This window comes from Homo sapiens, chromosome 22 (genome assembly GCF_000001405.40).
Source record: "Homo sapiens chromosome 22, GRCh38.p14 Primary Assembly".
In the NCBI taxonomy this organism is placed as follows: Eukaryota; Metazoa; Chordata; class Mammalia; order Primates; family Hominidae; genus Homo; species Homo sapiens.
Genome location: NC_000022.11, coordinates 43037742 through 43059338, shown reverse-complemented (window position 1 = coordinate 43059338; position 21597 = coordinate 43037742). Strand labels below are relative to the sequence as shown.

The window sequence follows — 21597 nt, the reverse complement described above, 5'->3', positions numbered from 1 at the left end:
GGAGTGGGGGGGCTTGCTGTCTTTCTGTTAAAAATCCCTGTTTTCAGCTGTGCGCGGCGGCTCACGCCTGTAATCCCAGCAAGCTGGGAGGCCGAGGCGGGCGGATCACCTGAGGTCAGAAGTTTGAGACTAGCCTGGCCCACATACATGGTGAAACCCTGTTTCTACTAAAAATACAAAAATTAGCCGGGCATGGTGGCATGCACGTGTAATCCCAGCTACTGGGGAGGCTGAGGCAGGAGAATCACTTGAACCCGGGAGGCAGAGGTTGCAGTGAGCGGAGGTCACACCACTGCACTCCAGCCTGGGTGACAGAGCAAGACTCTGTCTCAAAAAACAAAAAACAGGCTGGGCGCGTTGGTTAACGCCTGTAATCCCAGCACGCTGGGAGGGCGAGGCAGGCGGATCACCTGAGGTCAGAAGTTCAAGACCAGCCTGGACACGGTGAAACCCTGTCTCTACGAAACATACAAAAAATTAGCGGGGTGTGGTGGTGTGCACCTGTAATCTCAGCTACTTGGGAGGCTGAGGCAGGAGAATTGCTTGAACCCAGGAGGCAGAGGTTGCAGTGAGCCGCGATCGCGCCATTGCACTCCAGCCTGGGCAACAGGAGCGAAACTCTGTCTCAAAAACAAAAAAAAAAACAAAAAAAAACCTGTTTTCACTTTCTTGCCGCCTGCACATCTGCCAGAGGCTGCAGTCTTTTCGGAAAGGGAAAGGGGCTAGCTTGCAGCCCAGTGCCATCCCGGGGTGAGCCGGGCTAGCCTCTCAGGTGTAGCCACAGGCCCTGGCCCCTCCACTCCTCTTATACCCACTAAGTCAATAATAACTATTTTGGCATAAACTGATATATTGGAGATGGACTTCCAGCAGCGTCTTGTCTGTGATGTCCTGACTTTAGTATTTCATAGATATTTCGGGCTGGAAATGGCGTGCCTCTTTTTTTATCTTCACATTTTATGTTTGTTTGCTGGTTTTCAGTTGGCATTCGTGTTTTGTTTTACCGTGTTAAAGCAGGTGCACATCTGTTTTTAAGGGAAAAGAGAGAAATGAACATATGAGCACCAGCAAGCTTGCTACTATTAATATTTCCGGGGCCGGGCGCTGTGGCTCACACCTGTAATCCCAGCACTTTGGGAGGCCAAGGTGCGCAGATCACGAGGTCAGGAGATCGAGACCATCCTGGCTAACAGGGTGAAACCCCGTCTCTACTACAACTACAAAAAAATTTGCCGGGCGTGGTAGTGGGCGCCTGTAGTCCCAGCTACTCGGGAGGCTGAGGCAGGAGAATGGTGTGAACCTGGGAGGCAGAGCTTGCAGTGAGCCGAGATCGTACCACTGCACTCCAGCCTGGCGACAGAGTGAGACTGTCTAGAAAAAAAAAAATATATATATATATATATTTCCAGTGCTTCCCCAGTGGGTGTCTTGGGGTGTTTTGTTACTCGCATATGACTCCTGGGAAAACGGAGGCCCAGGCCCCGGAGCTGGGAAGTAGAACAGGTTTCTGGCCCAAAGCCCATGAAATCTTCCCATCTCACCTATGAGGGAGGGGCAGGAAAGCAACCCTCCCACCCTCCCCTGCCCACTCCAGGAGCCCAGTCTCTCCTGTCAGTTTCGTGGTCTTTTGTTTTTTTCTCTGAGGGCAAGTATGGTCTGTTCTTTTACTTTTTGAGGTGGCCCCTGAGAGACCCACCTACTCAGATGTGGGCCCAGAGAGTGGGTGCCACATCACCGTGGAGTGTGTGTGTGGTGGGATACTTCCCATTCTTTTAACAAAGGTGCTTTACAAAACTCCCAAAGCTCAAAGAATCACCACCATGTCAAAGAGCAAAAGTAACCATGGCCAGCTGTGGTATGTGTCCCCCACATTGGTGTCAAGAGGCTGTGAGAAAGAGCTTCCCTCCACAGTCAGAAATGTATGAAATTGGCCGGGCACAGTGGCTCACGCCTGTAATCCCAGCACTTTGAGACGCCGAGGTGGAGGATCACTTAAGCCCAAAAGTTTGGGACTTGAGGGTAACAAAGTAAGACCCTGCTTTTTTTTTTTTTTTTTTTTTAATTTAATTTGAGACGGAGTCTCATTCTGTCGACCAGGCTGGAGTGCAGTGGCACAATCTCAGCCCACTGCAGCCTCCGATCCCTGGTTCAAACAATTCTCCTGCCTCAGCCTCCCAAGTAGCTGGGATTACAGGCTTGCGCCACAATGTCCAACTAATTTTTGTATTTTTAGTACTGACAGAGTTTCACCATGTTGGCCAGGCTGGTCTGGATCTCCTGAACTTGTGATCCACCCACCTCAGCCTCCCAAAGTGCTGGGATTACAGATGTGAGCCACCGCGCCTGGCCAAGACCTTGCTTCTAAAAATAAAAAATAAATTAGCCGGGCGTGGTGGCACATACTTGTGATCCCAGCTAGTCAGAAGGGTGAGGTGGGAGGATTGCTTGAGTCCAGGAGTTTGAGGGTACAGTGAGCCACGATCACGCCAATGCACTCCAGTCTGGGTGACCATGAGGCCCTGTCTCTTTAATGTTTTTGTTTTGTTTTGTTTTTGAGATGGAGTCTCTCTCTGTCACCCAGGCTGGAGTGCAGTGGCGCGATCTTGGCTCCTAGCAACCTCCACCTCCCGGGTTCAAGAGATTCTCTTGCTTCAGCCTCCCAAGTAGCTGGGACTACAGGTGCGCGTCACCATACCTGGCTAATTTTTGTATTTTTAAGTAGAGACAGGGTTTCGCCATGTTGCCCAGGCTAGTCTCGAACTCCTGACCTGAGGTGATCCACGCACCTGGACCTCCCAAAAGTGCTGGGATTACAGGCGTGAGCTACTGCACCCGGCCAGCCCTGTCTCTTTAAAAAAAAAAAAAAAAAAAAAAAAGACAAGAAGAAAGATGGAAATGTGTGAAACTGCTGTTCTGGAGAAAGTGTGATGGCATCAAGGTTGATGTGTGAACATTTTTTTTTTTTTCAATTTTTTTTTTTTGAGACAGAGTCTCGCTGTGTCGCCAGGCTGGAGTGCAGTGATGCGATCTCGGCTCACTGCAACCTCCGCCTCCCAGGTTCAAGCAATTCTCTTGTCTCAGCCTCCTGAGTAGCTGGGACTACAAGTGCGCGCCACCACGCCCAGCTAATTTTTGTATTTTTAGTAGAGACAGGTTTCACCATGTTGGCTAGGATGGTCTCCATCTCTTGACCTCGTGATCCACCTGCCTCGGACTCCCAAAGTGCTGGGATTACAGGCAGGAGCCACTGTGCCTGGCTGTATGAACATATTTATAGAAAACAGTCTCTGTGGAGGCCAGGTATGGTGGCTCACGCCTGTAATCCCAGCTCTTAGGGAGGCAGAGGCAGGAGGATAGCTTGAACCCAGGAATTCGAGACCTGCCTGGGCAATATAGCGAGACCTCCTTCTCCACAAAAAGGGAAAAAAAAAGACAAAAAAAGAAACATTCTCTGTGGAAAATTAAGGCCTTGTCTTCTACTTTTACCTTTAAACATAACCAAAGAGGCTTATATTGAGCCTCTTTGAAGTGAAAGGCTTCAGTGAAACAACCACGAAAATTAAGAGGCTGGGCGTGGTGGCTCATGCTTGTAATCTCAGCCCTTTGGGAGACTGAGACAGGAGGATTGCTTGAGGCCAGGAGTTCAAGACCAGCCTGGACCACATAGCAAGATGCTGTCTCTACAAAAAAAAAAAATTATTTTTAATTAGCCGAATGTGTTGGTGCACACCTGTTGTCCCAGCCCTTTGGGAGGTCAAGGTGGGCAGATTGCTTGAGCCCAGGAATTTGAGACCAGCCTGGGCAACATGCGAGACTCTGTCTCTACAAAAAATACAAAAATTAGCCAGGCATGGTGGTGCATGCCTATAGTCCCAGCTACTGGGCAGGCTGACCTGGGAAAATCACTTGAGCCTGGAAGATGGAGGCTACAGGGAGCTGTGATCACACCAGTGCACTCCAGCCTGGGCGACAGAGTGAGACCTTGTCTCAAAAAAAAAAGAAAGAAAACTATAGACAGACGTGGCCAGGCACAGTGCCTGTAATCCCAGCACTTTGAGAGGCTGAGGTGGGCGGATCACATGAGGCCAGGAGTTGAAGACCAGCCTGGATAACATGATGAAACCCCATCTCTACTAAAAATACAAAAATTAGCCAGGCGTGATGGCACACACCCATAATCCCAGCTACTCGGGAGGCTGACGCAGGAGAATCGCTTGAACCCGGGAGGTAGAGGTTGCAGTGAGTGGAGACCACACCACTGCACCCCAGCCTGGGTGACAGAGTTAAGATTCTGTCTCAAAAAACAAAAAGAAGGGGCTGGGTGCGGTGGCTCACACCTGTAATCCCAGCACTTTGGGAGGCCTAGGCGGGCGGATCACAAGGTCAGAAGATCAAGACCATCCTGGCTAACATGGTGAAACCCCATCTCTACTAAAAATACAAAAAATTAGCCAGGCGTAGTGGCAGTGCCTGTAGTCCCAGCTACTCGGGAGGCTGAGGCAGGAGAATGGCGTGAACCCGGGAGGCGGAGCTTGCAGTGAGCCGAGATTGCGCCACTGCACTCCAGCCTGGGCCACAGAGCAAGACTCCGTCTCAAAAAAAAAAAAAAAAAAAAGGCCAGGTGCAGTGGCTCATGCTTGTAATCCCAGTACTTTGGGAGGGCGAGGTGGGTGGATCACCTGAGGTCAGGAGTTCGAGACCAGCCTGGCCAACATGGTGAAATCCTATCTCTACTAAAAATACAAAATTAGCTGGGTGTGGTGGCGCATGCCTGTGATCCCAGCTATTTGGGAGGCTGAAGCAAGAGAATCGCTTGAACCTGGGAGGTGGAATTTGCAGTCAGCCGAGACCGTGCCATTGTACTCCAGCCTGGGCAACAAGAGCAAAACTCCATCTCAAAAAAAAAAAAAAAAAAGAGATTATGTCGGGTTGGTGCCTTGACTTTCTGCACTTTAAGTGAAGCTCTTCCTGCTTTCAAAGTGGTGCGTGAGCACAGTGTGTGGGTTCGTTTTGTGTCTTTGGCTCACAGAGGATTCGACAGAAAAAACCCGGGACCTAGTTCACTGCTGGAGATACATCTTAGGGGCCGAGTGCCCCATCTCTTGTCCCACTGAAGCTCCTTATACCTTGGTGGCTTGGGTTGCAGCTTGGGTGGCAGGTAACGAGTGTGGAGTTCAGATCTGATTCCATGCCAGGCCCCACCATATCCCGACAGGGGACTTTGCTCAAGAGCCCACTCTTGCTGGGCCTCAGATGCCTCATCTGTGAAACTGGGACCCTGACACCAGTGTCACGGCGTATGTGTGAACAGTGCTCTGCAGAGACTGACTTCATGATTGGGAAGGGTTAAATACCGCTCATCGGTTGACACGTGACTGTGTGAATTCTAATGCCGGATTAAGCAGCCCTTTGCTCTCCCTCCCTCCCCAGCCCATTTTGGTAGATCTTTGAGAAAAAGTTAGCTGTTTAATCAAGGAAACCTGTATTCTTTCAGCCTGGCCCTCTGGCAGGTGCCTCTGAACGACTCCTTCTGGGCCTCAGTTTCCTGAACTGAAAAGCTGTTATGATAGATTTCTAAGGCTCTGTGAGGCTTTGGGAGCAGGAATTTATTTATTCAGTTTTTATTCACTTAGCAAATATTTCATCACCTGGTTTTTACCAGGCATGTTGTCCTCAGAGTGAGGCAGACAAGGAAACAGGCACATGGGAGGGGCCTGGTGCAGGACGGGAGGTGGCTCTGAGACCCCCCGAGGAACCCAAACCTGCAGCATGAGACTGGACAGAGACACTGAGAGCTACGCAATGCAGGCAGCCTGCTCAGGGCTGGAGGCAGAGCAGGGTTTGGAGAATGACAGTCAGGCTAATGACTTCCTGTCTTACAGACATTTTCTGGGACAGTAATCTGGGCACTGGCCTGGATGAGGATACCAGGCTTTTAGTTTAAATGTAATTCCGCTAAATTACATGAGGAGGCAGCCAAGAGCCTCCCTTTCTCTCAGTGAGTGAGGAGGGTGGTCCAGGCTGTCTCCTTCCCAGAGTTTCTAGCTTCAAGTGTTTCGTTGAAGCGGAGTCCGATGCCCTCTATCGTGTGACAAGACCTCCCTACCCCGTCTCTATGCTTCACTGACTATAGGGTGCACAAGTCTCTGAGGAGCCTGTAAAACTGTGGTGCGTCTCCAGAGGTTGAATCCAGGCAGGCTGGGGAGGGCCCAGGAATCTGCATCATAAGCAGCTGGGTTTGGGGGGTTTTGTGTTTTTTGTTTGTTTGTTTGTTTTTTGAGACAGAGTTTCGCTCTTGTTGCCCAGGCTGGAGTGCAGTGGCGCAGTCTCGGCTTACTGCAACCTCCGCCTCCCAGGTTCAAGGGATTCTCCTGTCTCAGCCTCCCAAGTAGCTGGGATTACAGGCACGCGCCACCACGGCTCGCTAATTTTTTGTATTTTTAGTAGAGACGGGGTTTCACCATGTTGGCCAGGCTGGTCTCGAACTCCCGACGTCAGGTGATCCACCTGCCTCCGCCTCCCAAAGTGCTGGGATTACAGACATCAGCCACTGCGCCCAGCCAGTTTTCTTTTTTTTGTTTGTTTGCTTTTAAGTGACAGGTTCTTGCTCTGTCACCCAGGCTGGAGTGCAGTGGCACGATCATGGCTCACTGCACTCCAGCACTCCTCACGGCACTCCTCTTCCTCCCAGCCTCCAGCTGTCCCGAGTAGCTGGGACTAATGGCACATACCACCACACCCAGCTAAATTTTTTATTTTTTGTAGAGGCGGGGGTCTCGCTGTGTTGCTCAGGCTGGTCTCAAACTCCTGGGCTCAAGTGATCCTCCCACCTTGGCCTCCCAAAGTGCTGGGATTACAGGCATGAGCCACTGCACCCAGCCTCAGGTGGTGTTATTTATGTATCTGGAGAACAGTTAATCTAAGGTGTATCTAAGTGAAATGGAATTGAAAATTACAAAGGAAATTCAAAAATTTGTATGTAAATGGATTTACTTTTGTCACTGGGAACAGAGGTTAATAGTCTGGCACCCGGATCCCTAAGGGCCTGGGAAGGGGTAACGGGCAGCCTGGTGGACAGTTTGTGTTTGTCTGTGATAAGGCTGCACAGACCTTCACTGCAGGTTCTGGGCTTGGAGCTGGACATCCGTTCACTCTGATGACAGTCTCACGCCAACAGAGGGGTTGGGTGCTAGTCAAGCCTCTGATGAGTGAGACGCAGAGATGCCCATTACGGCTTCATCAATTCCCTCTATCAGGCTGAGGAAAGTGCCCAATCTCTGAGCTCTGCGGGAGGAAGAGGGAGAGGAGGGAAGGAAGCGTTTGTGGTGGAGGGTGGGAACCTGTGCTGTGGGAGGTCGGGACGTGGGACGATCCTGCTTGTCTCTGTGGCGTTGGTCTCGGCTGCGCCCTTCGATGCTGGCCATGTCACCCACTGGTCACTCTCTCTCCAGCCGGTGATGAACAATGACAAGCACTGCTTTGAATGCTATGGCTACGACATCATCATCGACGACAAGCTGAAGCCCTGGCTGATCGAGGTAACTGCGGGAGCACCTGCACCTGGTCACACCACACATAGCCCCCAACACACTTCTGCCCCGATTCGGGCCCAGCAGTCCCCCAGGCCCCAGATGTTTCTCAGGCCAGGCAGGAAGGGGACTGATGTTCGAGTTTGATTGTTTGCTGATGGTTAAGGTATAAGCACATTCCTGCCTTGCTCCCCTCCCAGAGCCCAGCCCACGACAGGGAGCTGTAGCCCATCTCACGTGAACTTGGTGGCTATGACTCCTCCAGGGTGCATCTGGGCTAGTTCATCCTCCCTCAGTCCTGCACCCTGTCCCCCAGGCCCTCCCCTGTCCTCATGGGTGACAGTGTTCCCATCTAGGAAAGCAGCTCACAACCTCGGTACCCTTGGCCAGCAGGAGCACACTCTCCTGAGGGAAGGAACGCCCCTGCTCTTCTTTGGCATATATGAAGGTAGAGTTTGGAAGTGGATTCCTCTGCCTCTTTCAGTGGGTGGAGAGGATGTCGTGTTGGCTATCTGTTTAGCACTGCCTCCTGACACCAAGCCTGGCTGGTGCGACCTCAGCCACAGTGGGCGCTGGCGCGCTTCTCAGAGGCCCCAGCTTCAAACCCACCTTGCCCAACCGTTGCTCTGGAGCCAGGAGGAGGAGCTTCAGGCCTCCAAGGGGACAAAAGAACTCCGGCTCTATTGGTTCATCTCCCTGCACGCCCTCCCAACCAAGTTCATTTGCCAGTGGATGGCTTGGGCCCTTCATCTCGGTCACATTTTGAGCCAGGACACCCAAGTCCACAATAGCAGGTTGTAGGGACTGGTTCCCTATGGGTAGAGTCATGGGAACCCCTGCAGGAAGCTGCTGAAGAGCCAAGTGAGCTGGTTCCATCGTGGCATTTTCCAGGCAACTCCTTATGCCGCCAAAGCTGGGTGTGTGAGCGGGGAATAGATAGCCAGTGTTTGTACTTTCTTGTCCTCCATGTTAAACAGAATAACTTGAGGCTGGGCATGGTGGCTCACTCCTGTAATCCCAGCACTTTGGAAAGCCAAGGCGGGTGGATCACCTGAGGTCAGGAATTCAAGACCAGCCTGGCCAACATGGCAAAACCCCACCTCTACTAAAAATTAAAAAATTGCCCAGGTGTGGTGGTGTGCACCTGTAATCCCAGCTACCGGGGAGGCCGAGGCAGAAGAATCGCTTGAACTGGGGAGGCTGAGGTTGCAGTGAGCTGAGATCGCGCCACTGCACTCCAACCTTGGGTGACAGAGGAGAGACTTTGTCTCAAAAACAAACAAACAAAAAAAAAAACAAAAAAAAACCAGAGTGACTTGAATGGAAGTCTCTCCTGGATGACCTAGGATCTTAATTGTGAACATTACTTTTCTTTTCTTTTTTTTTTTGTTTTTGAGACAGAGTCTTGCTCTGTCACTGAGGCTGGAGTACAATGGCACGATCTCGGCTCACTGCAACCTCCGCCTCCCGGGTTTAAGCGATTCTCCTGCCTCAGCCTCCTGAGTAGCTGGGATTACAGGCGTGCACCACCACGCCCAGCTAATTTTTGTATTTTTAGTAGAGATGGTGTTTCACCATTTTGGTCAGGCTGGTCTCAAACTCCTGACCTCGTGATCTGCCCACCTCGGCCTCCCAAAGTGCTGGGATTACAGGTGTGAGCCACTGCACCCAGCCCTACTTTTTATATAATAACAATTCTGTTTTTTTGTTTTTGAGACGGAGTCTCACTCTGTCGCCTAGGCTGGAGAGCAATGGCGCAATCTCGGCTCACTGCAACCCCCGCCTCCCGGGTTCAAGCAATTCTCCTGCCTCAGCCTCCTGGAGTAGCTGGGACTACGGGTGCATGCCGCCAACCCTGGCTAATTTTTTGTATTTTAGCAGAGACGGGGTTTCACCATGTTGCCCAGGCTGGTCTCCAACTCCTGAGCGCTCAGGCAATTTGCCTGCCTCGGCCTCCCAAAGTGCTAGGATGACAGGCGTGAGCCACCGTGCCCAGCCAACAATTCTTTTTTTTTTTTCTTTTCTTTTTTTTTTTCTGTCTTGAGACAGGGTCCCACTCTGTGGCCTAGGCTGGAGGCAGTGGTGTAATCATAGCTCGCTGCAGCCTACACCTTCTGAGCTTAAGTGATCTTCCTGCCTCAGCCTCCTGAGTAGCTGGGATTACAGGCATGTGCCACCATGCTTGGCTAATTTTTTTTTTTTTTTTTTGTGGAGATGGGGTCTCACTATGTTGTGCAAGCTGGGTTTTTTTGTGTGTGTTTTTTGTTTGTTTGGTTTTGTTTTTTTGAGACTGAGTTTCACTCTTGTTGCCCAGGCTGGAGTGCAATGGCGCCATCTTGGCTCACCACAACCTCTGCCTCCCAGGTTCAAGTGATTCTCCTGCCTCAGTCTCCCGAGTAGCTGGGATTACAGATATGAGCCACCACTCCTGGCTAATTTTGTATTTTTAGTAGAGATGGGGTTTCTCCATGTTGGTCAGGCTGGTCTCGAACTCCTGACCTCAAGTGATCTGCCCATCTTGGCCTCCCAAAGTGCTGGGATTACAGGCATGAGCCACCATGCCCAGCATCCCAAGCTGGTTTTGAACTCCTGGGCTCAAGTGATCCTCCTGCCTTGGCTTCCCAAAGTGCTGGAATTACAAGTGTGAGCAACTGCTCCCAGCCTTTTTTTTTTTTTTTCTTGTTTCAGGGGGCACATATGCCGGTTTGTTACATGGATATATTGCAGAATGCTGGGCTTTGGGCTTCTCTTGAGCCCGTCACCCAAATAGTGAACATAGTATTCAATACGGAGTTTTTAAACTCTCGCCTTCTTCTTCACTCCCCTCTTTTGCAGAGCCTAGTGTTTTGGGTATTTTTTATTTTTATTTTTTTGAGACAGAGTCCTGCTCTGTCACCCAGGCTGGAGTGCAGTGGCACGACCTCGGCTCACTCCAACCTCTGCCTCCTGGGTTCAAGTGATTCTTGTGCCTCGGCCTCCTGAGTAGCTGGGATTACAGGTAACTGCCACCACGCCTGGCTAATTTTTGTATTTTTAGTAGAGATGGGGTTTTACCATGTTGGTCAGGCTGGTCTTGAACCCGGACCTCAAGTGATCCGCCCACTGCAGCCTCCCAAAGTGCTGGGATTACAGGTTTGAGCCACCATGTCTGGCCTGGGTTTTTTTTTTTAAGAGACCAAGTCTCGCTCTGTGTTCCAGGCTGGAGTGCAATGTCACCATCATTGCTCGCCGCAACTTGAACTCCTGGGCTCAAGTGATCCTTCTCACCTCAGCCTCCTGTGTAGCTGGGAGTAGAGGTGTGTGCCACTCTTCCCAGATAATTTTTTTTTTTTTTTTTGGTAGAGATGGGGTCTCGCTGTGTTGCCTAGGCTAGTCTTGAACTCCTAGCTTCAAGCGATCCCTCCACCTCGGCCTCCCAAAGTGCTGGAGTTATAGGTGTGAGCCACTGCACACAGCCTAAAACAATTCTTTTTTTTTTTCTTTCTTTTTTTTTGAGACGGAGTCTCACTCTGTGACCCAGGCTGGAGCGCAGTGGCGTGATCTCAGCTCACTGCAACCTCCACCTCCCGGGTTCAAGCGATTCTCCTGTCTCAGTCTCCCAAGTGGCTGGGATTACAGGCGCCTGCCACCACACTTGGCTAATTTTTTTTATTTTTAGTAGAGACAGGGTTTCACCATGTTGGCCAAGCTGGTCTCGAACTCTTGACCTTGTGATCCACCCGCCTCAGCGTCCCAAAGTACTAGGATTACGGGCATGAGCCACCGCGCCCGGCCCCTAATAACAATTCTTAATCTTCATGTATTCATAATAAGAATTATAGTATTATGGTATACTACAGTGGTCATTTTGAGGACAATGAGATGTGTGCAATTCTTTGGCACAGTACATATTCGATACACTGCTAGCAGCACAGACAGGCAGTCTGACTGGGAGAAATGTAAACAGCTTACAAATTTGCTCCCTCTAATCCCCCATGGCCTGAAACAGCTAACCAAGGTCATTAGAACAGTGCCTAAAATATGAGTAAATAAGTAGTGACTGGCCGGGCACGGTGGCTCACGCCTGTAACCCCAGCACTTTGGGAGGCCGAGGCGGGCAGAACCCCTGAGGTCAGGGGTTCAAGACCAGCCTGACCAACATGGTGAAACCCTGTCTCTACTGAAAATACAAGTATTAGCCAGGCGTGGTGGTGCATGCCTGTAATCCCAGCTACCCAGGAGGCTGAGGCAGGAGAATTGCTTGAACCCGGGAGGCAGAGGCTGCAGTGAGCTGAGATCACACCACTGCATTCCAGCCTGGGTGACACAGCAAGACTCTGTCTCAAAAAAACCAAAAAAAGTAGTGACTGAGGGCCTGTGGGACTCTCCACAGAACAAAGCGAATGTCTTCATTTTAATGTGTGGATCTTGTGACGTTGCTTAGCTTCTCAGAGGCCTTATGGGACCACCTTTCCATGTGTTGGAAGGATTCATCATTTGAGTGAGAATGCTGCTTTACTAATGAGATATTACTCTCTTAGCAAAAAGGGAGCCCATTGCCTTTTGCTGAAACCCACACTGCTGCTTGGGCAGGGCCATTTGGGTCACTGATTCTAACAAACCCTTGTGGGGCTCTTGGTACTTAGGACAGAACCAGTCACACAGGTAGGCACTGATAACGTTTGTGATATACACTGGCCCAAAATGTTTGTGCGATCGCTGATTTGTAGATCCTAATTCTAATCCTACCTTTAAGTATTACTTATATTTCATTGAACAGCTAATAAAAGTGGATCACAAAGAGTTTCCTATCCAAGGTGCTCTGACGGTATTAGATAGTAGCAATATTAAATAACCATTTTCCAGGTGTGGTGGCTCACGCCTGTAATACCAGCACTTTGGGAGGCCGAGGTGGGAGGATCACCTGAGGTCAGGAGTTCGAGACCAGCCTGGTCAATATGGTGAAACCCCATCTCTAATAAAAATACAAAAAAATAGCTGGGCGTGTTGGTGTGTGCCTGTAGTCCCAGCTACTCAGGAGGCTGAGGCAGGAGAATCGCTTGAGCCCGGGAGGCGGAGGTTGCAGTGAACCGAGATTGCGCCACTGCACTCCAGCCTGGGCAACAAGAGCGAAACTCTGTCTCAAAAAAAAACTTCACTAAAGTGTGTAGCAGCCAGCATCTCCTTCTGCAGTGCACATTTTCATTCCAAAAGAGCGAGAGACACAGGTGAGGAACATGGGTCTTTCATCTCACAGGTGAATGCGTCCCCGTCTCTCACGTCCAGCACTGCCAATGACCGAATCCTCAAGTACAACCTGATTAATGACACCCTCAACATCGCCGTCCCGAATGGTGAAATCCCAGACTGCAAATGGAACAAGTCGCCACCTAAGGAAGTCCTCGGCAATTACGAGATTCTGTAAGTGTGTGTGTGACTGTGCGCTTGTCCTTCTGTGTTTCCGAATGGCGTGTGCCATAGCCCAGCTTGGATTTCTGGGCATATGTGGATTCTCCTTATTTGGGCAGACTGTTTCATTTACTAATGACATGATGGGATAGATCTTGTTGTAGCAGAAAAGCAATTTGTTTATTTTATTATTATTATTTTGAGAGGGAGTCTCACTCTGTCGCCAAGGCTGGGTTGCAGTGGCACGATCTTGGCTCACTGCAACCTCCGCCTCCTGGGTTCAAGCAGTTCTCCTGCCTCAGCCTCCCAAGTAGCTGGGACTGTAGGCATGTGTTACCACTCCTGGCTAATTTTTGTATTTTTAGTATAGACAGGGTTTCACCACGTTGGCCAGGCTGGTCTTGAACTCCTGACCTCAAGTGATTCTCCCACCTCGGCCTCCCAAAGTGCTGAGATTACAAGTGTGAGCCACTGCACCCAGCCCAGAAAAGCAGTTTGGGTGCTGAACTTGATCATTGTGTATGCTCCTACTCAAAACATATGTGTGGTGCACTGATCACGTGCCAGGCCCCCGCTGGCCGCCGGGATAGCTGGAGCAGGCTGGGTGGAGTGCTTGGCCGCTGGGATAGCTGGAGTAGGCTGGGTGGAGTGCTTGGCCGCTAGGATAGCTGGAGTAGGCTGGGTGGAGTGCGTGTTTCTCACGGGTCACCTGGGCTCATTCCCTGGCTTTGCCGCATAGAGCTGGGTGACAGGGAGGAACTCAGTGCAACTGTTTGAGCCTCAGTTTGTCCACCTTTAAATTGGTATAATAGACCAGGTGCAGTGGCTCACACCTGTAATCCCAGCATTTTGGGAGGCCGAGGCGGGCAGATCACCTGAGGTCAGGAGTTCGAGACCAGGCTGGCAAACATAGCGAAACCCCATCTCTACAAAAAAAAAAAAAAAAAAAAATGGGTATAATAAGATCTATTTTACAGAGCGGGAAGGAAATAGCTAACTTTCGAGGGCTTGTCATGTGTCAGAAACTGTGCAGAGTGCTTTACACACAGTATCAATTCCTTTCCCCAGTAATATTTTGAAGTAGGTAAGACTATTAGCTCCATTTCACAGGTGTGGAAACAAAGGCTTAGAGCGGTTCCGTGGCATACTCGTAGTGACGAAAGTGGGAACAAAGTGAGAGCCCATCAGGAGTGTGGTGGCTGAACACAGTATGGTTCATTCATTCTGCGGTCTATTAAGTGGCCTTTAAAAAGATTGACCTGGCTGGGCGTGGTGGCTCACGCCTGTAATCCCAGCACTTCAGGAGGCCAAGGCAGGTGGATCACGAGCTCAGGAGTTCAAGACCAGCCTGACCAACATGGTGAAACTGTATCTCTACTAAAAATACAAAAATTAGCCGGGTGTGGTAGTGCGCGCTTGTAATGTCAGCTACTCAGGAGGCTGAGGCAGGAGAATCGCTTGAACCCGGGAGGCGGAGGTTGCAGTGAGCCCAAATTGCACCACTGCACTCCAGCCTGGGCGACAGAGTGAGACTCTGTCTCCAAAAAAAAAAAAAAGGATTGACCCAGAGCTACACCATGGGGCCTGGGAGGTTGCCTGGGAAAAACTCACTGCAGAAAAGGGTGTATAACGTAATCCTTGTAAAACATTGGCCTCAGAATCCCCTGTGTGTACATACAGTGACATGTGCGGTGGCTTACATGCGAATGCATGAGCAGGGAAACATGGAAGGACACACATCATGTTGTTGGCATCGATACTGCAGTCGAGTGGGCGTGGAGAAGAGAGGGAAGCAGACGGCAGTAAAAGGCGGAGGAGTAGGTGTGTTAGGATCACAGTTACATGCTTCTGTCACAGCAAAAATGTGCATTTCATGTAAATTTTTAAAAAACAAAGGAAGAAATATTTAGTGAAATTTACACACACACACAGAGACGTCAGGCTTGTAGCTGGTAGGCGCTGCTGGTGGGAGGACTCTGAAGCCCATGCTTAGCTGCCTCCTGCCCCTGCTGTGGGTGATGTGTGGTGTGGATGTGCGTGTTACAGCTCATTGTCTGGAACAGGAGGAGCAGGTGCAAGGGGAGTTTAGATGGAAGTATACTGGGCTTGCCGGCAACCTCGGGGCCTCTACAGGGTAGTGGCTGTGAACTTCAGGGGTGACCAGTCAGTGTGTGGTTGGTTGTTCTCTCCCTCCATGATCAGCTGCCCAGGCTAGGTACAGAGAAGGCAGAGGGTTGGGAGGGACCAGGATTGGGAGCTTGCGATGGCAAGACAGAGGGCAGCGGGGACAGGGAGAAGATGGGGGTGGGTGGCAGTCTCTCGGGGAGGAGGGTTGTTGGAGTCGGGCACTAGGGAAGTGGGCTGGGAGGAGAAGGGGCAGTGGTCAGGGAGTGAGCACTTGCCATGGAGATAATGCAAGGGGTGACGAGGCTTGGGGACTCCCTGGGGATGGGACTGAGATGGAGTAGAGGACAGGGTCACCAGAGGTCAGGGAGTTGGGGGTTTCATCTGTTTGGTCATTGCCATCACCCACCACCATGAACTAGGAGCCTGGCTCTCCAAGGGATCTGGGGTGGTGACCTGGAGGACTGGAGGTGACTGCACAAGGAGGAAGGTAACTGTGGTGACCAGGCCTGGAAAGAGCTGGGGGCTTTAGAGAGGAGGCCCCCTCCAACCAGGAGTATGGGGGGTGGGAGAGAAAGCAGTCTCCACACCAGGGGCTGCAGGGGAAGCAGCGTCTCGCAGGAGCCCATTAGAGCAGGAAGGGGAAGTGGAGATTAAAGGATAAGCAGAGGGCATGGTGGGTGCGATGATGGGCAGAGAGTTCCGGAGCCCACAGAGGGTGAGTCTGGGGATGGGGTCAGACTGGGATTGGCAGCCTGGAAGGTGAAGGGTGAGATCAGGGTTGGGGATGGCAACTGCGATGGCGGCCTTCGGGGCTGGGTCCTGATGGCCCCTGTGCTGGAGGACTGAGGGGGTCTGTGAGTGTGTACAGGGTGGGGACCATTGCGGGGAGACTTGTCAGTAGCATGAGGACCTTGGGGGGTTCTCTTCAGTCCAGTTGAGGGTGGTGGAGAGGCTGGCTTGTTGGGAGCGTGTAGAGCCTCTGCCGCGTCCAGCCTGTGGACTTCTTGAGGGAGTGGGCCAGACTCGCCATTTCCCGGCCAAGAAGCAGAGGCCAGGCTGGGTATGGTGGCTCATACCTGTAATCCCAGCACTTTGGGAGGCCAAGGCAGGTGGCTCACCTGAGGTCATGAGTTCAAGACCAGCCTGGCCAACATGGTGAAATCCCGTCTCTGCTAAAAATACAAAAATTAGCCGGGCGTGGTGGTGGGCACCTGTAATCCCAGCTACTTGGGAGGCTGAGGGCAGGAGAATGGCTTGAACCCAGGAGGCGGAGGTTGCAGTGAGCCGAGATCGTGCCACCGCACTCCAGCCTGGGCGACACAGCGAAAGTCTGCCTCAAAAAAAAAAAAAAAAAAAGAAAAAGCAGCAGAGGCCAGAGCCTCACTGCTTTTAGTTGAAGAGACAACAAGGTGAACCCCCCTCCCTGATCCAGCCGTCCTCTCCTGGCTCCTGAGGAGTAATGGAAGGCTCTTGTGTGGAGCTGATGGCCTCTAAACGCTTCTAGTCAGGGCTTGCTTCCCTTAGGCATTCAGCTGATCAAAGAACCCCAGCTCCATTTTCAGGTGCAGCCACCAGCAGCAGTAGCAGTTGGTGCTGACTGGGAGGGCCACGTCATCTGAGCGGCGCCGCCCGTCCATGCCAGGTGCTCTGCGTGCCCACAGCAACTCCTCAGAGCCCAGCAGCATCTAGCAGAGGACACTGGCCGCATGAGGTCACGTGCCCCAGGCCATACCATTGGCTGTGGCCCTACAAGGCCTGGCACTTTGCATCTGCCACCTCCAGGACCCTGTTCCGAAGTTGCTGACTGTACTTTTACAGCCTTTAAAAAACCCTAACAGTGACTAGATTGTTTCTGTGAAAAGCCAGAAGAAAAGCCTGCTAGAACAGGAACTTCGAAGAGCCATCTTGGCTCTGATTCTCCTCTGCGTTGGCTCGGTAGGTGGCCAGACCACCCCTGGGAACAGCGCATCCCGGTGCCAGCTGCTTGCCAAATGCTCCTTTCTGTTTGTTTTGTTTTTTGAGCCACACAGATCAGCACAAGTGCTCCGTGAAACCGGTCACCATATGTGGTCCTTTTCTCCATTCATTCAGTAGATTCCTATCCACCAGACCTTGAGCAAGCTGCTGGGGGCAGCCACGAACCAGACGGGCGGTCACTGCAGCCCCCTGGCCAGGGAAGCAAACACGGGGGCAGTGGAGTGACGACATTTATGAATGTGGAGTCCCCACGGGGTAGGGGTATCTGATCCTGTGGAGAGGCGCCAGGGAGGCTTCCTGGAGGACCCCCCCCACCCAGGCAGATTCCAGAGTTCCAGGGGTGTCCTGTCCGGCTTCCTTGTGTCATAGGGACTATGGCTGTGTCTCTCCTTCGAGAGCCAGAGAGGAAGCAGGCCCCTGTATCATCATCCTGACAGCTCCACCCTGGTGCAGAGCCTGGATCCCTGTGGTGTCTGCTTCACAGACAGAAGTCAGAAAATGCGGCCAGGCGCAGTGGCTCACACCTGTAATCCCAGCACTTTGGGAGACCGAGGCAGGAAGATTGCTTGAGCTCAGGGGTTCGAGGCCAGTCTGGGCAACATGGTGAAACCCCATCTCTACCAAAAATACAAAAAGTTAGCCGGGCGTGGTGGCATGCGCCTGTAATGCCAGCTACTTGGGAGGCTGAGGCATGAGAATCTCTTGAACCCAGGAGGCAGAGGTTGCAGTGAGCCAAGATCGGGCCACTACACTCCAGTCTGGGTGACCGTTTAAAAAAAAAAAAAGGAATCAGAAAATGCTTTCTTCCCACCTACTCTTTCAGTCCCAGTTTGCCACCAGAAGCACAATGCAGAAAATACATTCTTTAACCTCAGAAGTTTCTAACTCATACTACATTCAACCTGCAAACTCTGGTTTTGGTAATAAGCTTATCACAGAAATCCACCCTTTTCCAGAAGTCCACATGATTAGCACTCAGCATCTGGGTACCTTTTGTGTTTGACACAAATACCTACATACAACCGAGGGTCCTAGTCAGGATGGCCAGCGCAGCACACCGACGGATGTGCTTTAACTGGGGAAAGATGCTTTCCACACTCCTCAGCGCTATGGGACAAAAAACTCCGAATTAGAAATCAGAAGTCCTAGAGGTTAATCTTACCTGTGCCACAGGCCAGCTGTGGGACCCTAGGCCCTGAGCAAACCTCTAGAACCCCAGTTTCCCCCCATAGGAAGCAAGTCCTGGTGCTGCCGCCCGAGTTGGGAGGATAATGTCAGTCACCGTGGAGGGGGGCGGCCCCATTCCCCCAGCCTGCTCCCTGCCACAGCCTGCAATAGGTGCAGGCAGCAACGACCATGCTCCAGGACCCCGTGAGAGAAGGGCCCCGCCACTGTGGGAAGGACCCAGGACTTGCCCAGATGCTGTGACCACCCCGTCTGGGGAGCTGCAGCTGGCATCCAGCTCTTCCAGACACGAAAATTCAGGCTGTTTCCTACACTGCTGCCTCCTTAGCACACGCGGCCTTAGGATGCATGAACGTTAATTGGGAAACAGGCAGTTAAAGAAAATGGGGGCCAGGCACGGTGGCCCACGCCTGTCATCCCAGCACTTTGGGAGGCCGAATGGGCAGATCACCTGAGGTCAGGAGTTCGAGACCAGCCTGGCCAACATGGGGAAACCCTGTCTCTACTAAAAATACAAAAATTTGCTGGGTGTGGTGGTGGGCACCTATGATCCCAGCTACCTGAAAGGCTGAGGCAGGAGAATCGCTTGAACCAGGGAGGTGGAGGTTGTAGTGAGCCAAGATTGCGCCACTGTATACCAGCCTTGGTGATAGAGTGAAACTCCATCTCAAAAAAAAAGAAAATGGGGAGGGGTGGCGTGGGTCACACTGGCAGAGTCTCTAGCTGAGTGTGCACCGTGGGGCCTCTCTGCCCTGGCCTCCACTGACCAGTGCTCATGTACCACTCCCATCTGGAATGGAGTTAGTCCCCCCAGCCTGCAGGTGCCTTGTGTGAAGCGTTTCCAGCCAGGCAGTCTCACCTCACTTACCCTGGGCTGGTTCTGTGTCACCTCATGCATGTTGCCTTTGGAGTCATTGCCATATTTGACCTGGTGACCTGTATAAAATGTCAGCTTCCGAGGGGAGACCACTGTCCACAATAACAACAAGGTTGTACACATAGGCAGGCTGGCCTTGGGGAGCATTTGCTGGGCTGCGAGAGCCACCTGGCAGGCAGGTGGGCTGGAGCCAGGTGGGAGGTGGGCGGGAGCCAGCAGGAGTCGCGAGGGTGGGGCCCCCTCAGGCCGCTTCTCTGGGTGATGTCATATTTGCCACACAGCAGCCTGGTGGCCCTGCCTGTTGCCTTTGAAAGAGAGCCTGCCGTGATCCTGGCTGTTTCTGTCTCCAGGTATGATGAAGAATTGGCCCAGGGTGACGGGGCTGACCGGGAGCTGAGAAGCCGTCAGGGTCAGTCTCTGGGGCCCAGAGCAGGCCGATCGAGAGACTCGGGGAGAGCGGTCCTCACCACCTGGAAGTGAGTCCCACCTGGACCTTATCAAAACTACTCACTCCACCTGGGCCCCTGCTGAAGCCCTATTTTGAAATTTCCCTTTTGTAGAGCTTTTTTCCTTTCCTAAGCCCTGTAAATAAACGAAGGCACTTCTTTGGAAGGTTATGGAGTCTGTTTGACTAGTGCTAAAGGAAACAATTCATGCGGATGTATAAAACTCGCTCTTTTTTTTTTAATTTTTAACCTAAGCAGAATTTTCATATTAAAAACTCACTTTTTTGACAGAAAGTAACAGCTTCAAGCATGTAATTTGATGTGTCACAAGGTTTAAACATTAAAAAAACTTTACACTAAATTAAAAACAAAACAAATCTTATAGACTCGTCCTGCCACGAGAGAGGAATGTATTTAACTGACGGCTCTTTTAGTTGCGTTTCTTTTTACTTGACTGCGATTTTTTTTTTTTTTCCCGAGACAGAGTTTTGCTCTGTCGCCCAGGCTGGAGTGCACTGGCACAATCTTGGCTCACTGCAACCTCTGCCTCCTGGGTAGTATTTCTCCCACCTCAGGCTCCCAAGTAGCTGGGATTACAGGCGTGTGCCACCACACCTGGCTAATTTTTGTATTTTTAGTAGAGATGGGGTTTTGACCATGTTGGGCAGGCTGGTCTCAAACTCCTGACCTCAGGTGATCTGCCCACCTCGGCCTCCCAAAATGCTGGGATTACAGAGGTGAGCCACCACGCCCAGCTTACTTGACTGTGATTTTGAAGAAAACAGGCAACTAGAAATATTCCTCGGTAATTTATCTTTACAAAGGCCTTTGTCTAGGTGCTCCCAGGAAGACCTGTTTTCTTTTCTTTTCTTCTCTTTTCTTTTTTTTTTTCTTTTCAGACAGGATCTCGCCCTGTCACCCAGGCTGGAGTGCCGTGGTGCCATTGTGGCTCAACTTCCTGGGCTCAAGTGATCCGCTCACCTCAGCCTCCCGAGTAACTGGGACCACACAGGCACACACCACCACCCCCAGCTACTTTTTAAAGTTTTTTTTGTAGAGACAGAGTTTCACCATGTTGGCCAGGCTGTTCTCGAACTCCTGGGCTCAAGCGATACTCCTGCCTAAGCTTCCCAAAGTGTTGGGATTACAGGCATGAGCCACCACGCCTGGCTTCAAAAAGACCTGTTTCTACCACTTCGGTTTTGTGGATGAGTCTGTTGTAAATGGAACTAGATGAGCACAGACAGGTCCGGCTGTGTGCCTTTTATGACGTCAGCAGCTGGGTTTGCTACAGGGAAGCGCCGTGGGCAGCCAGGAGCTGTGGGAGGAGCGATGGCTGCGGGACAGGCTGCGCGAGCGTGGTTGTTCCCATGCAGTCTCCCGGTAGCCCGGTGACTTACAGGAGTGTATGGAGAGGACCTGAGTTGGTGGGTAGATGGACAGATGCATTTGAGTAATAACTCATGAGTTACAGTGCTGTTCTTAGGAAGGGTCTTTTTTTTTTTTTTTTTTTTTGAGGTGGAGTTTCACTCTTGACACCCAGGCTGGAGTGCAATGGCACAATCTAGGCTCACTGCAACCTCCACCTCCTGGGTTCAGGCGATTCTCATGGCTCAGCCTCCCAAAGAGGTGGGCTTACAGGCGCCTGCCACCACGCCCAACTAATTTTTGTATTTTTAGTGGAGACGGGGTTTCACCATGTTGGCCAGGCTGGTCTCGAACTCCTGACCTCAGGTGATCCTCCCGCCTCCGCCTCCCAAAGTGCTGAAATTACAGGCGTGAGCCACTGCGCCCGGCCAGGAAGGGCCTTTTACTCATGGTCGTATTAACACGTATTTGCTGAAGTTTCACTCGCTGTCTTGAGTTTATCTTTAAAGCTTGCCACCTGTTTTTGTTGCAATGCTAGTAACAGGAGTTTGTTCTCCCAAATGGCACCAAGGGTATGTCCTTCAGATAAGGGTCTTAACTGACTTGCCCAGGCTCTCTCAGTGCCCATGCATGGACGTGTGTCAAGTGTACATGCCATATTGTGTGTGTGTATATGAGTACATATATTTAATGATGTTTC

At 51.4% G+C, this 21597-nt stretch overlaps 1 protein-coding gene and 1 long non-coding RNA gene across 3 annotated transcripts in view; one reads left to right on the top strand and one right to left on the bottom strand.

The window, feature by feature from the left end:
* TTLL1 (TTL family tubulin polyglutamylase complex subunit L1) overlaps positions 1–19823 on the top strand; it is a 49876-nt gene extending 30053 nt beyond the window's left edge. For both annotated transcript variants that reach the window (NR_027779.2, NM_012263.5), the window contains 3 exons: positions 7452–7538; positions 12766–12929; positions 19434–19823. Coding sequence is in view for 1 of the 2 variants with exons in the window: in NM_012263.5 (NP_036395.1) it covers positions 7452–7538; positions 12766–12929; positions 19434–19563 (381 nt within the window). In the remaining variant the exon portion in view is untranslated. The remainder of the gene's footprint in view (positions 1–7451; positions 7539–12765; positions 12930–19433) is intronic.
* Positions 6973–20754, bottom strand: TTLL1-AS1 (TTLL1 antisense RNA 1). The gene is made up of 3 exons (NR_125362.1): positions 19075–20754; positions 18038–18128; positions 6973–7284 (listed from the first exon to the last, which is right to left on the bottom strand). It is a non-coding gene; the product is annotated as a TTLL1 antisense RNA 1 (long non-coding RNA).
* Positions 20755–21597: the final 843 nt, after the last annotated feature.